Source organism: Homo sapiens, chromosome 14 (genome assembly GCF_000001405.40).
Source record: "Homo sapiens chromosome 14, GRCh38.p14 Primary Assembly".
Lineage (NCBI taxonomy): Eukaryota > Metazoa > Chordata > Mammalia > Primates > Hominidae > Homo > Homo sapiens.
The window spans coordinates 32,829,845-32,845,068 of NC_000014.9; the positions used below are offsets into that span (position 1 = coordinate 32,829,845).

At 37.2% G+C, this 15,224-nt stretch overlaps 1 protein-coding gene across 15 annotated transcripts in view; it reads left to right on the top strand.

The window, feature by feature from the left end:
- Window positions 1-7,840, top strand: part of AKAP6 (A-kinase anchoring protein 6) — a 508,387-nt gene extending 500,547 nt beyond the window's left edge. For all 15 annotated transcript variants that reach the window (XM_047431969.1, XM_047431966.1, XM_024449755.2 and 12 more), the window contains one exon: window positions 4-7,840. The gene's annotated coding sequence lies outside the window, so the exon portion shown is untranslated. The remainder of the gene's footprint in view (window positions 1-3) is intronic.
- Window positions 7,841-15,224: the final 7,384 nt, after the last annotated feature.

The following is a 15,224-nucleotide window of genomic DNA, read 5'->3' on the forward strand; positions in this document are numbered from 1 at the left end:
TAGATACGCCTGGCTGCAACTCAGGGGTGGCCTCATCCTCCCGCCCTGGGCTGGCCTCTGGTTCCATCACGTTTGTCACTGCCGTTTATTACATTGACTTCTCCCAAGATGAATCTTCCTTCCAAATGTGTTTTCTCCACACAAGCCTTGTGATCTGAATGTGTGCGCTGGTTCTCTTTAGGTGATCGTCTTTGAAGTTCAGCAAAGCTGCTTGTTCTCCCATGGATTCCTGTCCCAAGCTACCTCTACCAACCCTCTCTCTCCAGCTAGACTTTTCTCTTTGCCTCCTCCCTTCCCTTCCACTCTTTAAAGTTCTGCAGTTCACCAACTGGTAGTCCATTAAATTCTCCTGTCTAGAATGACCCCCCCACCAGTACTTGACCAATTTCATGTATCAATCTGGATTTTTTTTTAACGGTATAATGACTGTGTTTATTGAAAGAGTTTTACCTAAAAAGCCAACATTTGAATTGGTTGCAGCATAGAGAAGAAACACTGGTCCTTCTTTCAAAATTAAGCAACTATTAAAAGCGCCATTTTATTTATTTCATTTAAAAAATAATCTATGCAGCATTTCAAGAAACAACCATATGGTGTTGTATATTATAAACTGGTGACATTCTACTATTGAATTATGTACAACATTTTCATTTTTTATGCTTCTTGAGGTGGTAATGAGAAAAAAGTTTTTTAAAAAAGTGTGCCTTGCTGTATTTCTTATACCATTTATTAAAAAGCTGCTTTCACGGTAAAATTATGTTGGTTTGAAAGGAGGAAATAGCAAGGTTAAGATGTGTGAATAATTTCTGTATATATGTATAACCAAGTACAAACATTGATGTATAATGACAGTATAAAATGCTTTCATGTTTGTGATGTCTAGTGATGTGGAAAATATAAGCCTTAAATCCATTAGATTGCATGGTAATTAAAATTGGCATAATAAACACAGATTATTGGGGGAAAAGGAAAATTAGTGATCTCTTCTACTATGTTCTTTACCAAATTGTTGCATCTGGTTCTGAAAAAGTATAGCATGTAGCAGCTTCCAAACATATTCATATTGCTTAAGAGGCTTAACATTACCTAAACTAGAGACTAGACGTAAAGCCTTCAGTTTTCAAAATCTTTCTGGTCACTATAAAGATCTTGGAACAGCAAATGATTAAATGTCAGTTCCCCTAAACCAATAAACATTTATACTAGATTTTTTATTTCCACTTATCATTAATGATTTAATGTTGGATTTCAGGTACCTTGTATGTCTTAATTTATTTTAAATATTTATTTTGAATGAGTTTGATAGAAAGCTAGTAGAAAAGTACAGAAAATTTGACTATTATTTATAGATTTCAGGTATATTTATATGTGTAAAAGAAATTGACAAAGAAATATTTCATCTGGCCTTTACTGACTCCTGTTAAATGCAGTTTTAAATTTATATCGTAACACCTACTTAAGTGCCTGACACAGTAGGTATTCAATAAAAATTTACTGAATTAAAGGATTAAATTAGGTGACATGGTGACATCTATCCCTTTATTTTGACACTAAAACATGGACACAACTAGAAAGAGGTACAATGCAATATAAAGTCACAATAGATAATATATATCAAATTTCTAAAAGGTAAAGAATGTTGTGGGTTCATGCAGTCACAGGAATGACAATCATTCAACAGATAGTTCAGAAACACTTTTTATCTGCAAGGCACTATTCTAGATCCAGAAGATGCAATGTTGAACAAACAGACAAAGCCCTGCCCTCAGAAGGCTGTCCTGCATTAGGAACAAGTGAACACGCAAATGACATGAAGTATTTGTTGCAGAGCTGAGGAACAGAGCAAATGTAGTGATAGAAGCGCAATGAGAGAAGCAGCAGTGGGTACAAGGAGGAAGAAAAAGGGCTTGCAGAGAGTGGAAAGTTAGTGGAATATTCATGAAACTTCATTGCAGGGGTAATAGAAGAAAAAGTAAATTGGGAGGACTTAATGGAAGGTCTTTTAAAAAGTTAACTTGGAGCTTCTGTATGTAAAATGCTAGGTAATAAGGACACTTTGTACAGGCTGTTTTGCACCTGATTTTATTTATCATTAGTGCCACGCCAAGATCATTTAGACGATGCTTATCTGTAATTCTACCACTTTAATAACTATTTGTATTTTTATGCCCCTTCTGATCTTTTCCATATGTATTTCTAAATGGATAAATTATTCTAGGCTTCTTAATAGGTAGTAATTTGTTCAAAAGCGGTTTTAGCCAGACATCTAGTTGCAGTGTTCAAGAGGATTATGGGGGAAAGAGATTAGAGATAATTGTCTAGTTAGGGGGCAGCTGGAGAAAATAAGCTAAGTTTGCAATAACAGAGTACACAAGTATAGTGGCCCAGGATGTAGTGAAAGAACAAATCCTAGAGTCTTTGAAATTTCTAAGGGCATTCTAGACCTCTGTTGGGATATGGTATTATTTTACATACTGACACAACCTAAATTTTCTTTGGGTAGTAACTAATGTCAAGTCTACATCGACTGGTAAAACATTCAAAGAACAAACTGACAATGATGTTCTACCTACTTGTTACATGCTCATGGAAGACCGTGCAGTATTGAAAGTATTTGTTAATTATCTGCTTAGTATTAACACTAAATTTGTAGAATGACTTTCAGGTTTGTTGAACAATGCCTTTTCAGGTTGGAAGAAGAAAAATAGCCTCAATCTCCCACCCCATGTAGGCACTACCTCCCCAATTACCCTTAGAAAATGATCACACCAACTCTGCCTACACACTTCCAGTGATAGTGGCTCATTGTCTGTTAAGGCAAACTGTTCCACTGTTGGGCATATCTCTTTGTTAGAAAGTTCTTTCTTAGGTTGCTAAAATCTGCCTAGTACCCCGCTACCCTGTTCTGTCTTATGGAGCAGCCCAGATTATCTTTACTCCCTCTTTCTCATGGCAACCCTGAAGATAATCAAGGCCAGTTACTCATCATCTCCCAACCACTGTTTCCTCAACTGCCCTTCATATGTCATGGTTTTCAGATCCATTCCAACCTGACTGAATGTTAACAGACAGAATTCTTCACATTAAGGAACTGTCTTCATCATCATACATGTAGAAAAGAATCTGAACATTTAAGTGCGAAGTTTTCTCTAGAAATATATTCAAGATATGTTTATTCTATTATTGTAAATTTCAAACAATAAATAAATAAGAATCCATGACTTCCTTCAGTGGCCCAGTCCAGTGCCTAAGTCATCTGGAATCTTCTCCTTACATCGAATACAAACCTAACCTGTTTCCAAGTAGGGCACTCCCTCCGCTTATTTATTCATTTATTCAGCCATTCAGCAAACATTTATTAAATGGCTACCTATGTGAGGCACTATATTTGGCATTAGGTATATAAAGGCAACTAACACATGGTATCTGTCTCCAAAGGTTTACAGCTTTTCTTCTGAAAGTGCCTTTTGTGTCCTTGAATAGAGTGATTATGACTTTTGTCTCAATTAAATGATGACCTCATTTAGTTTCTGATGAAGTTTCTCTACATTTAAGAAAATCTAGTGAGCAAAACGGTATACAAAAAATCATCTGGATCTGACTACCAGAAAAAGTAAAGTGGTTTTAATTACAGAAAGAAAAATATTTGTTAGATTTCTGGTCACTGAATAAATATGCATCTTATACAACACAGAACAACCTAAATTTAGGGCTTCTGGAAACCTGAGTTTGATGACTTTGTTGTGTTTGGTTCATCCGGACTAGGTTTCACCCATTCTATAATTCCTAGAAACAAACTAGATGAAAATATCAATGAAATGATCCAGGTCTGTCTTACAAGTCAATTTGCTTTAGCTTCCAAAAGAAGTTGAAATTTTTTAGAATTTTAAAGAAAAACTCACTTTTCAAGTGTCATATAATTCTTATATTTTAAATATAAATCGAACCAACTAAATTTACCGCTATATTTTTTTCTACATATTCTTTTTTCAATTTTCATTTTGAAAAAATTCAGACCTATGTAAAAGTTGAGAGTAGAACAAAGATACTTGGTACTCATCCCTCAGGTTCATTTATTGTTAATATTTCACCATATTTACTTCATCTCTGTATACACACACACTTTTTTGTATGATTAAATCATTTGAAATTAAATTGTAGAGTATGATACTTCATCTGCAAATACTTCAGCATGTGTTAGCTGAGAACATGGGTATTCTTCTGCAAGTCTACAATACCATCTTCATACTCAAGAAATGTAACATTGGCTGGTCATGGTGGCTCACGCCTGTAATCCCAGCACTTTGGGAGGCCAAGGCGTGTGGATCACCTAAGGTCAGGAGTTCGAGATCAGCCTGGCCAACATGGTGAAACCCCGTCTCTACTAAAAATACAAAAATTAGCCAGGCGTGGTAGCTGTAATCCCAGCTACTTGGGAGGCTGAGGCAGGAGAATTGCTTGAAGCCAGGAGGCAGAGGTTGCAGTGAGCCGAGATTGCACCACTGCACTCCAGCCTGGGCAAGAAGAGTGAAATTTTGTCTCAAAAAAAAAAATGTAATATTAATACAATAATACCTGATAGTTTATATTCAAGTTTCTCTAACTACCCAAATTATGTCCTCTTATAGTTGTTTTTGTTTTAATACAGTATTCAAACAAAGATCACACACTGCTTTTAGTTTCCAAGTCTTTTTTTTTTTTTTTTTTTTTAAATCTTGCATAGTTTCCCTGTGCTTTTACTCTATTTTTCTTTGGGCTTTTATAACATCGACAGTTCTGAAAAGTCCAGGCCAGTTTTGCAGAATGATCCACAATCTTGATGGGTCTAGTTGTTTTCTCATTGTTAAACTCAGGGTAAACTTTTTTTTGTCAAGTAAATACATAGGTGACTTTGCATTCACAGCCACTCTTTAATGAAGATTGATTGAATAACTGACATTCCTGATATGTTTTAAAGTTCACAGCTTACTCTTTCAGCCCATGCTTCATCCATCTAAGGCAAGGGTCAGCAAACTGTGGCACGTGGGCCAAATTCAGCTCGTTGCCTGTTCTGGTTTGACCCATTTGAACAATTGACGAGCTTCAAACAATTTTTACATTTTTTAGTAGTTAAACAAAAGAATACTTCATGACATGTGAAAATCATATGAAATTTAAATTTTGGTGTCCATGTATAAAGTTTTATTAGAACACATCCACGCACATTTGTTTCCATAGTCTACGGATGCTTTGACACTATACAAAGTTACGTACTTGCAACAAAAGCCATATGGCCTGCAAAACCTAAAACATTTACTATCTGGATCATTACAGAAAGTTTTCTGATCCCTGGTCTATGATATTCTAAATTCCGACACATTTTCTTAGGATAGATTTCCATTTGCAAATTCAGTGTAAGACATAAACACCGGCAATAGTTGTGTTTTTTTTTTCTTTTTACTTCCTAGATTTTATTGCATTCTCAACTTGTTTCATATTACCTTAAAAAATAAAGTGCACTTAAAGATTGTTTCACATCCACAGTTTGTTTAAGGATTTAAATTTAGTTCACTATTACTGCCTGGCTTTGATTGATTTAGAGGGTTAGTCAATTACAGACTAAATAATTAGTTCAATCAAAACCATCAGAAAAATTGACACAAACTCACTTCCATGCACCAGTAAACTGGAATCCTTTCTTTAAATGTTTTTCTAAAGCAATCCGAGGAATTAAATTCAGGCCATTTCACAGTCAGTTTTTTTCAAATTCATTTTTCAACTCAAAGGCAAAACCATGATCAAAATATTGTATATAGTACACCTTCAGTTCCCAACTGCTGAATTTACCAAGGAATTAAGTATTCACCACAAACCCTGGTGTGGCCATAGGTGGACACTCTAATTAAAAAGAAGATGTTCAAAAAGAATAGTCCTTCTTTTCTTTCTTAAATTCACCTTTGATAGCACTGCCACACTTCTGGGAAGGGAACGTTCAAGGAAACCGTATAGCCACTTCTTTTTTAAAAGCAGCCACATACCTTCTATATAACAATGGCCCTTTAGTTTGAGAGTTGCCACATATTTGCATTTCCAGAGTAAAATAATAGGATGACATGGGCAGGTCAGGCCCACAATAGTATGGTTTCTTTGGCAAAGGCATTTTGGCCAATGCCGTAAGACCATTCTGGCCCTTGATTAATGGGTTCTCACCAAAGCAGAAATTACGCAGAGCTTATTTGTCCTTGCATTTTGAAGTAAATCATTGCCTGCATAAAGCAACTCTTTTGTCTCTTTTCCATTGCAACACACAGGAGTTGGAATGTGTTCATACGTGTAAGACTGTCTTAGTCTGCCCAGACTGCTTGGACTGTGTTGTTTATAAACAACAGAATTTACTGCTCAAAGTTCTGGAGACTGGGAAGTTCAAGATCAAGATGCTAGCAGATTCAGTGTCTGAGGAGGGCTCACTTTCTGTTTCATTGATGCACCTTACTGCATCCTCATCTGGTGGAAGGGGCAGTGAACAAGCTCCCTTGGGCCCCTTTTACGAAAGCACTAATTCCATTCATGAAGACTTCACAACTTAATCACCTCCCAAAGGCTCCATCTCTTAATACGATCACATTGGGGATTAGGTTTCAACATACCAATTTTGGGGGTACACAAATATTGAGGTGATAGACACTTCCAGGCTTTTGCCAAACATTAGTAAACAATTTCCAGTGAATACTCTGCCCCATTCTCTCCTACTCAAGCAGAGTATCTTAAGGCAGCAGATTGGAGTGACGTTACTTTAAGGGTAACTTTGAAGCCAATCTAATTCATACTCAAAAAAGTATTCCAAAATTTTGGTACTCTATTATGGGTTACAAACCCCTTGTGACACCATATTTAAGAGCCACTGCTATTGAGGCTTGCACTCTCTTGCTTGAAATGAGGTGCTCCCAAACCTGGGAGATGGCTCCCAAAGAACAAGAGAATCAACCCCATCGTGCATTTATGTGCTGCCCCAGGTAATCCACAGGCACAAAGAACTTGAGCTTCCTGGTGTGTTCTTCAGAAAAAAAGGAATTCAAAAAGCAAATGTAAAATGGAACAGAACTTGGCCTCAAAGTGATGTTGGAAAAATAGCCAGTCCTGATGACTTGGTCGAGGTAACTTGCTTTGCCCACTGTTAACTACAGAGCCATATGATAATGGAACATCAAGGTTTTCCAGATAAACCCAAAGCCTTTTGTGTCTATACCTTGTAACCTGTCATGTTCATCAACGTTTTAGACTGTACCATTGCTCTTTCTCCCTTCTTTATTCATTTTATATGGGGACGTTTGACTAGGATCACCAGATGTAGATTTGGTAATTTTTCCATACCATTAAGATGTATGATAATGGATTTTATTAATTTAACACAAATGCATAAAAATATGATGTAATAAGAAACAATCCTGAAATTATTAAAACATTTCTTTGTCCTTACTTAAACCTAACCTGCCATTTTAAAAGACACCTAACTCTATAAACAAATGGGCCATTACAGACGTAAAACAAATATTATTCAGTGAAATTTATTCAAGGACTTAAAATGATTGAAGGCATTAGGAACATAAAAATGCATAAGATCCTCTTTTAAATCCCAATATTCCCTAACCACTGGTTTATAAAAAATACTCTAAGGTTTATAGAATTAGTTTGGTTCCGTTAGTTGATCAAGTTACTTACACTAAGTCAGCAATTCAAAACAAATAATTCCCTCTGTGTGTGTTTGTTTGCTTGCAAATATGTTTCATTTTAAAGTGTCTTTTTATATAGAAAGCCAAGTTGGTGGAATTTATCTTGTCATTAAAATGATGTGAAAATCAAATCATTCTTCATATTTGTGCTCTTATCCCTGCCGATCTCAAATAACTAATGATGCTTACGGCAAGGTTTTATAAAGTGAAAACGCCTTAACTTTTCAGGAAACAATTCTATTTTTACATATGTACCATTTGCCTCTTTCCTAAACACTTCTATCAGTGTTCTAAGTTCCATATATTCTTTTGTAATTTACCAGTGACATCTTCCCATGCAAACTATATTTAAAAATATTTTTTAGTAAGTTAAATCACTAATCATTTACAGGTTGAGGCATTTTCTTTTTTTTTTTTTTTTTTTTTTTTTGAGACGGAGTCTCGCTGTCGCCCAGGTTGGAGTGCAGTGGCGCGATCTCGGCTCACTGCAGGCTCCGCCTCCCGGGTTCCCGCCATTCTCCTGCCTCAGCCTTTTGAGTAGCTGGGACTACAGGCGCCCGCCACCTCGCCCGGCTAATTTTCTGTATTTTTAGTAGAGATGGGGTTTCACCGTGTTAGCCAGGATGGTCTCGATCTCCTGACCTCGTGATCCGCCCACCTCGGCCTCCCAAAGTGCTGGGATTACAGGCGTGAGCCACCGCGCCCAGCCGAGGCATTTTCTATAGGAATGAAATAATGCTCTAGTGGGTAAAACTTTTTTTAAAAAGACAAAACAGATTCTGTTTGATTCAGAATGATTGGACAACAGACTATTCTTATCAACCTTAGGGTGTGATTATTTAACTCATTTGTGACTTACTGGCAACTCAAACAGTTTTAAACAAAACTTAATCCTTGACGGTTCAGCTTCACCATATGATTACCAATTATTGTTTAGTGTTGTAGATGAGTAAATTATAGGAAATCAGGCTAAATAAGTAAACATACTCTGGATATTATTTTTTAAATCAATCTAATAAATCATTATCCCTTGAGTGCTTGCTATATGCCAGGCACTGTGCTAAGCACTTTACATACTCAATTTAATCTTCACAATACTCTGTGATTGGTGCTATCCATTCTATATAATAAGGAAATTATCTCATTTGCAATCGAGATAAATAAGGATTTGCAGTAGTCCTCCCTTACCCAGTCTCTTTTTGCATGCAGTTTCAGTTACCTGCAGTCCCAAAATATTAAATGGGAAATTCCAGAAATAAACCATTTAGACATTTTAAATTGCATACAGTTCTGAGTTGCTTAATGACATCTCCTGCAGTCCCTCCTTGTCCCGTCTGGAGGCGAATCCTCTCTCTGTCCGGTGTCTTCACTCTGTAGGTGCTGCCCATCATTAGTCACCCAGTAGCATCTTGGTTATCAGAGCGACTGTCTTGATATCACAGTGCTTGAGTTGAAGCAACCCTTGAACCTAAAGTGCAAGAGTAGTGATGCTGGCAATTCGGATATGCCAAAGAGAAGCTGTCAAGTGCTTCCTTTAAATGAAAAGATGAAAGTTCTCAATAAGGAAAGATAACAAATAGTATGCCTAGGTTGCTGCAATCTATGGTAAGAGCAAATCTTCTATCCATGAAATTGTGAAGGCAGAAAAAGAAATCCCAGCTAGTTTTGCTGTTACAAACTGTAAAAGTTACAGCCACAGTGTATAATAACTTTTGTTGCAGTATAGTGTTGTAATTGTTCTATTTAATTGTTGTTGTTAATTTCTGTGCCTAATTTACAAATTAAACCTTATCATAGGTATGTATGTGTAGGGAAAAACATGGTTGAGCTATAGGATTTCATACTATCCCAGATTTCAGGCATCCATTGGGGGTCTTGGAACGTATCCTTCGAAGATAAGGGAGGATTACTATAGTGAATGGTGCTCATTTAATATCCACATATACCTTGCTAAATTTCCTGCCTATATTAAATGCTTATTAAATATATAATTCATGCCAAAACTGAAGAAAGGACTTTCATTTTAAAAAGGATTTCTTATAAAAATTCTATAGGAGAAGTGATAGCTAAATTAGCGCTTGAAAAAGGCCAAAGAAAATTGTATACTGTATATAATTATGCCTCATTATGACCTCTGCACATTTTCCAGAAAAGTTAGGCATTAAAAACACACACAACAGGAACACCTTAAAGGTCAGAGCCTGATGAAAGAAAAATGCAATACTTCATTATGAAGAATGAGATTAATGTTCTAGTACGAACATACATTTTTATCATTACATTTTGCTCAAGAAATACTTTAAAACATGCAACTTCTCATTGTGTATTTTGTTTAATATCTGAGGTGGTGGAGAGAGAGAATTCTATGAAGTATAAATTTCAATTTAGTGAAATAAAAATGTGGGTTTTGCTGTATTCCTACCACCTATTATGTGACTCTTCTTTACATGAGACTTCACCCCTCTCCTCCCAAAGACATTCTGGCTTTAAGAGTAAATACTAAAGTCTCGGTGCGCAAAAAGTTTAATTCAAACTTTCTCATTATTTTCAAGAGCTGCTTTCCTAAGATAGCACAGTTTGTGCATCATATTTGCTACTTTCACCACTGGCAGGACATCTGCTATAAACATTTAAAATAACAAATGACAACTGTTTTTTTACTTTTTAAAAATTATTTTAGGTTTATAAAATATTGTAAAACCAAAAATAGTACACTTTAACCACACTCACCTTTTCTTAATATTTCACCCCATTTGCTTTATCATTTATGAACTCTATCTACCTGTCTGTCTATGTATCTGTCTCTCTATCAGTCTATGTATTTATCTGTTTTTTACTTTTCTGAACCATTTGAAGGTAAGTTGCACACATCATGGCCTTTTATCCCTGAATGTTTCATTGTATATTTCCTAATGCGTATGTACTTATATTCTCTTAAATAACCATAGTACAGTTATCAACTTTATAAATTTCCATTGATGCATTATTTCTATCGAATCCTTTCACATTCCAATTTTGTGAGTTTTCCTAATAATATCTTTTATAGCATTTCCCCCCCTTCAGTACATGATTTGGGTATTAAATTTAGGTGTCGTATCTCTTTAGCCTCCTTTAATCTGGAGCCATTTTTCCAGCTTTTCTTTGTCTTGTTATGACATTGACAATTTTGAAGAATAGACCCCCCCGCCCCCACCCCCCCCCACACACACACTTTTTGACAAGATTTTTCTTCAGTTTTTGTTTGCCCTTTCCTTGGGATGAGATTGAATTTACGCATTCTCAGCAGAAATGTTGCATGGGTGGTGGTCTCTCCTCAGAGTATCATATCTGGAGAAATGCAATGTCCATCTGTCCCCCGTAGGTTATGTTAATTTTGATCATTTTGTGGAGAGATGCTTTAAAACCATGCAAATATCCTGCCCTCTTCAAGTTTTCTCCTATATTTAGCATCAATGGGTAATTCTTGTCTAATCAGTCTTTACCAAGATGGTTGTGAAATTGTTTTTCCAACTCTAGTACTCTGTCCACGTTTATCACTTGGCCCTTTGTATTACCCAGTAAAATCCCTTCCTTCACTCCTACTTATTTACCTCTTTATCATAGACAGAAACTTATGAATTCCTTTTCCCCAATTATTTATAATTTATTACTTAAATTATTTTGGGCTCAAATTGTCCCAGGTTTGGCCAGTGGGAGCCTCTTCAATCTGGGTCTTGTATCCTTGTGACCTCTTTTAAACAATTTCTTAATTTCTTACAAAGTGCTCTGGTCTTGCACCTAAGTGTCCCAACTCTTGAATCAGCCATGTCTCTGAGGATCCCTGGTTCTTTTTAATAGGGATTGGCATTAGAGGCCAAGATTTTAGTGTTAGGTGTGTTTATTGCTACTAGGGTATCTTTGCTTCTTGATGCTTTCAGCCAACAAGGTTAGGAAATACGTGAACTTCTATACACATTAATGTAAACATATATACAATTTTATATGCACAAAGGCATATTCATACACACATATAAATGTGTATACACACATATTTTAGAAATCAAGAGCTCACATCAATGTCTCCAATTTTAGTCCATTCTCACAGGATTCTTTCTTTACTTCCCTGATTCCATATTTGTATTTCCCTTCTTTCACTATAAGAACCATGGATAACAACATCAACATATATACCCATTTGCTAAATAGCATAATACATTTAAAATAGTGTCAGAATTGCTTAAAAACCATTATAATCAACCTACTTAAAAGAGTTCAGGATTCATTTACAATTATCCCATCTCCTACCCTCCCCTTCCCAAATACCAAGTGCTATTCAATACTAAGGGTGTGTGGTTAAATACTGTGTTCCAAAGTTCATAAGCTACATGGATTGGTTTCTTTCTCCCCTTCCCTTCCCTCCCCTCCCCTCCCCTCCCTCCCCTCCCCCTCCCCTCCCCCTCCCCTCCCCTCCCTCCTGTCCTCTTCCTCTCCTCTCCTCCCCTCCCCCCTCCTCCCCTCCCCTCCCCTCCCTTCCCTTCCCTTCCTTCTCTCTTCCTTTCTTCCCTCATTTCTTTATTCCCTTCAATATAATTATGGCATTCATTTAAAATAATTAAAGTTAAGTCCATTTGTTCCAGTTTCCTTTCAGTTTAGGTTATTTTTTTCTTCCCTCCCATTCTTATTGTTCTAATTTTATTTTTTGAACCTGTAGAATGCTGATATGGATTGAATATTTGTCCCCTCCAAATCTTACATTGAAATGTGACCTCCAAAATTGGAGGTGGGCCGGGGTGTATCCCTCATGAACGGCTTGGTGCTCTCCCAGCAGTAATCCCACTCTGATAGTTCACATGATATCTAGTTGTTAAAAAGAGCAGTGGTTCATGCTTGTAATCCTGGCACTTTTGGAGGCCAAAGTGGGAGGATTGCTGGAGCCCAGGAGTTCAAGACCAGCACGGGTAATGCAGTGAGACCTTGTCTCTACAAAAAATTAAAAAATAAAAAATTAGACACTGGGTGTGGTGGCACATGCCTGTGGTCCTAGCTATTTGGGAGGCTGAAGGGGGAGGATTGCTTCAGCCTAGGTGGTCAAGGCTGCAGTGATCACTCTACTGTACTCCAGCCTGGGCAACAGATTGAGATCCTGTTGAAAGAAAGAAAAAAAAGAAAAATAAAAGAAAGAAAGAAAGAAAGAAAGAAAGAAAGAAAGAAAGAAGAAAGAGAAAGAGAGACAAAAGGAAGGAAGGAAGGAAGGGGAAGGGAAATGAAGGGAAGGGAAGGAAGGAAGGAGAAAAAGAGAAAGAAAGAGAGAGAGGGAGGGAGGGAAGAAGGAAGGAAGGAAGGAAAAAAGGAAGGAAGGAAGACAGCCTGGCATCTCCCTTGCCTCCTCTTTCACCATGGGACACACCTGCTTCTGCTTTGCCTACTGCCATGAGTGAAAGCTTCCTGAAGCCTCCACTGGAAGTGGATGCTGGAGTCATGCTTCTTGTGCAGCCAGCAGAACGGTGAGTCAAATAAACCTCTTTTCTTTATAAATTACCCAGCCTCAGGGTAATTCCTTCATAGCAACACAAATGGACTAACACATGTGCTTTCCAACTTAAAACTATACAAAAAGCTGCACTCAAACAACCATCACTGCCTTCCCTATCTCTTCCATCCCATTTCCTCCCAGCCCTTGTAAATACACAAATTCATTGTTTCTGGCTGATTCTTCTTCGGTTTCTTTCTGTAATAATAAGGAGATATATGTATATTTTTGTATTTTCCTTCTTTCTAGCCTCAAAAGTATCATACTAAATGTATTTTTTGTCTTTGAGTTTAAAATTTAATATCCTTTAGAAATCACTCCACATTAGTTCATAGATATCTTTCTCAGTCTTTTATAATTATGTGACACACACTGATATCACAACCTTTTTGAGGTCCTTAAAAAATATGAAAGGAGATTGGATTTCATTCCATGCCTGTATTATGTGAAAGGATTAATGACATGAGAAAAACTTTTCAAGAAAGGTGTTGGCATAAATGACCATATCTGCTGTGTTCATTGTCTAAGAGCAACTGTGCTTTAAGTCCATCTTTTCATGCTTCTCTTTGACTTTCCTCTGGCAGTTACCCCTATTCTCCTGTCCCTTAACTAAATTTGATGCCCCTCTCACTCTGCCAACAACTGGCTACTTTCCCTAGGCCAGTGCAGTGTGCACGCACTGTTGAGAGAAAGTTTTGGATGGCAGCAGATATTTAAGCATGGGCTTGCACACTGCATAAAGACTCCTAGCTGGAGAGGCCAGTCAGGATGAAATCCATCCAATATTCATCTGGCCAAGTCATGCTGGCTCACATGTTGAAAAATGTCTTCCAAGAGGAAGGGATGCATTTTCTTAGTTTTCAAAAAGACACTGTAAAGTCTAGTAGCAGCCCTGTCCTCAACCCTCCTTCCCTGTAGAGTTACCATCACATCTGTCCACCCTACACAATCAGACTTCTCAGAGTTTCATCTTAGCCATATCCCTCCCATTCATTCTTCCTCTGCAGTCCTATTTCTGCTCCCTTCCCTTTCCTGTAACTGCTCAACCACAATGCCTCAGGAAATCTTAATCCTACCCAACACAAAGAAGCTTTTAGTGCTTGAAACCTTTCTTGAGAGTCCTTTTTCTTGTTTTCTGAATCCTAAAATTCTCTTTTCCCTCCTTCATTTTGACACGTGTCTCCTTCCTTATCTACTAAATGTCTTCCAGTTTCCTTCTTAGCTTTCCTCTCTTTTCACTCTGTAGTTCCTATCTGAGTTATTTCTGTATTCCTATACTATCTGCTCACCTCGAGGTGTAAAGTTCCAGCATTTCATCTCTAAACTTGACTTTTCTCAGGTCTAGGTCCATCTTTCCACTTGGTGGTTTCCTTAGGACTTCATACTTTAAAATCAAACATGATTTTCTACTCTTACATATAACATTTCCCATCTCAGGTAATGGCATTCACATTTTCCTAATTGTTCAAGATTCAAACTCTGGGATATCTCTGATGTTTTTCTCTCCTTCTCCTTCTCCTTCTTTTCTCTCTCTCTCTCCCCTCCTTTCTCTCACTCTAAATCCCCTAATGTGTCTAGAAAGGTCCTGGTTGAAGCTCTTCCCCACATTTTGAAACCCTTTTAAATACTTTTCATTTCCATTCCCACTCTGATGACAAGACTCCTATGATTTTTACATGGTGGCTATGACTTCCTGATTCTGGCTGGGTGTGGTGGCTCATGACTGTAATCCTAGCACTTTGGGAGGCCAAGGTGAAAGGGTTGCTTGAGCCCAGGAGTTTGAGACCAGCTTGAGTGACACAGTGAGACCCTGTCTCTGAGAAAGAAAGAGAGAGAGAGAGAGAGAGAAGGAAAGAAAGAAGGAAAGAAAGAAAGAAAGAAAGAAAGAGAAAGAAATGAAAGAAAGAAAGAAAAAGAAATGAAAGAAAGAAAGAGAGAGAAAGAAAGACAGAAAGACATATATATTTCCTAATTCCTTTTTCATTTGTGGGTCACTGACAGTGAAT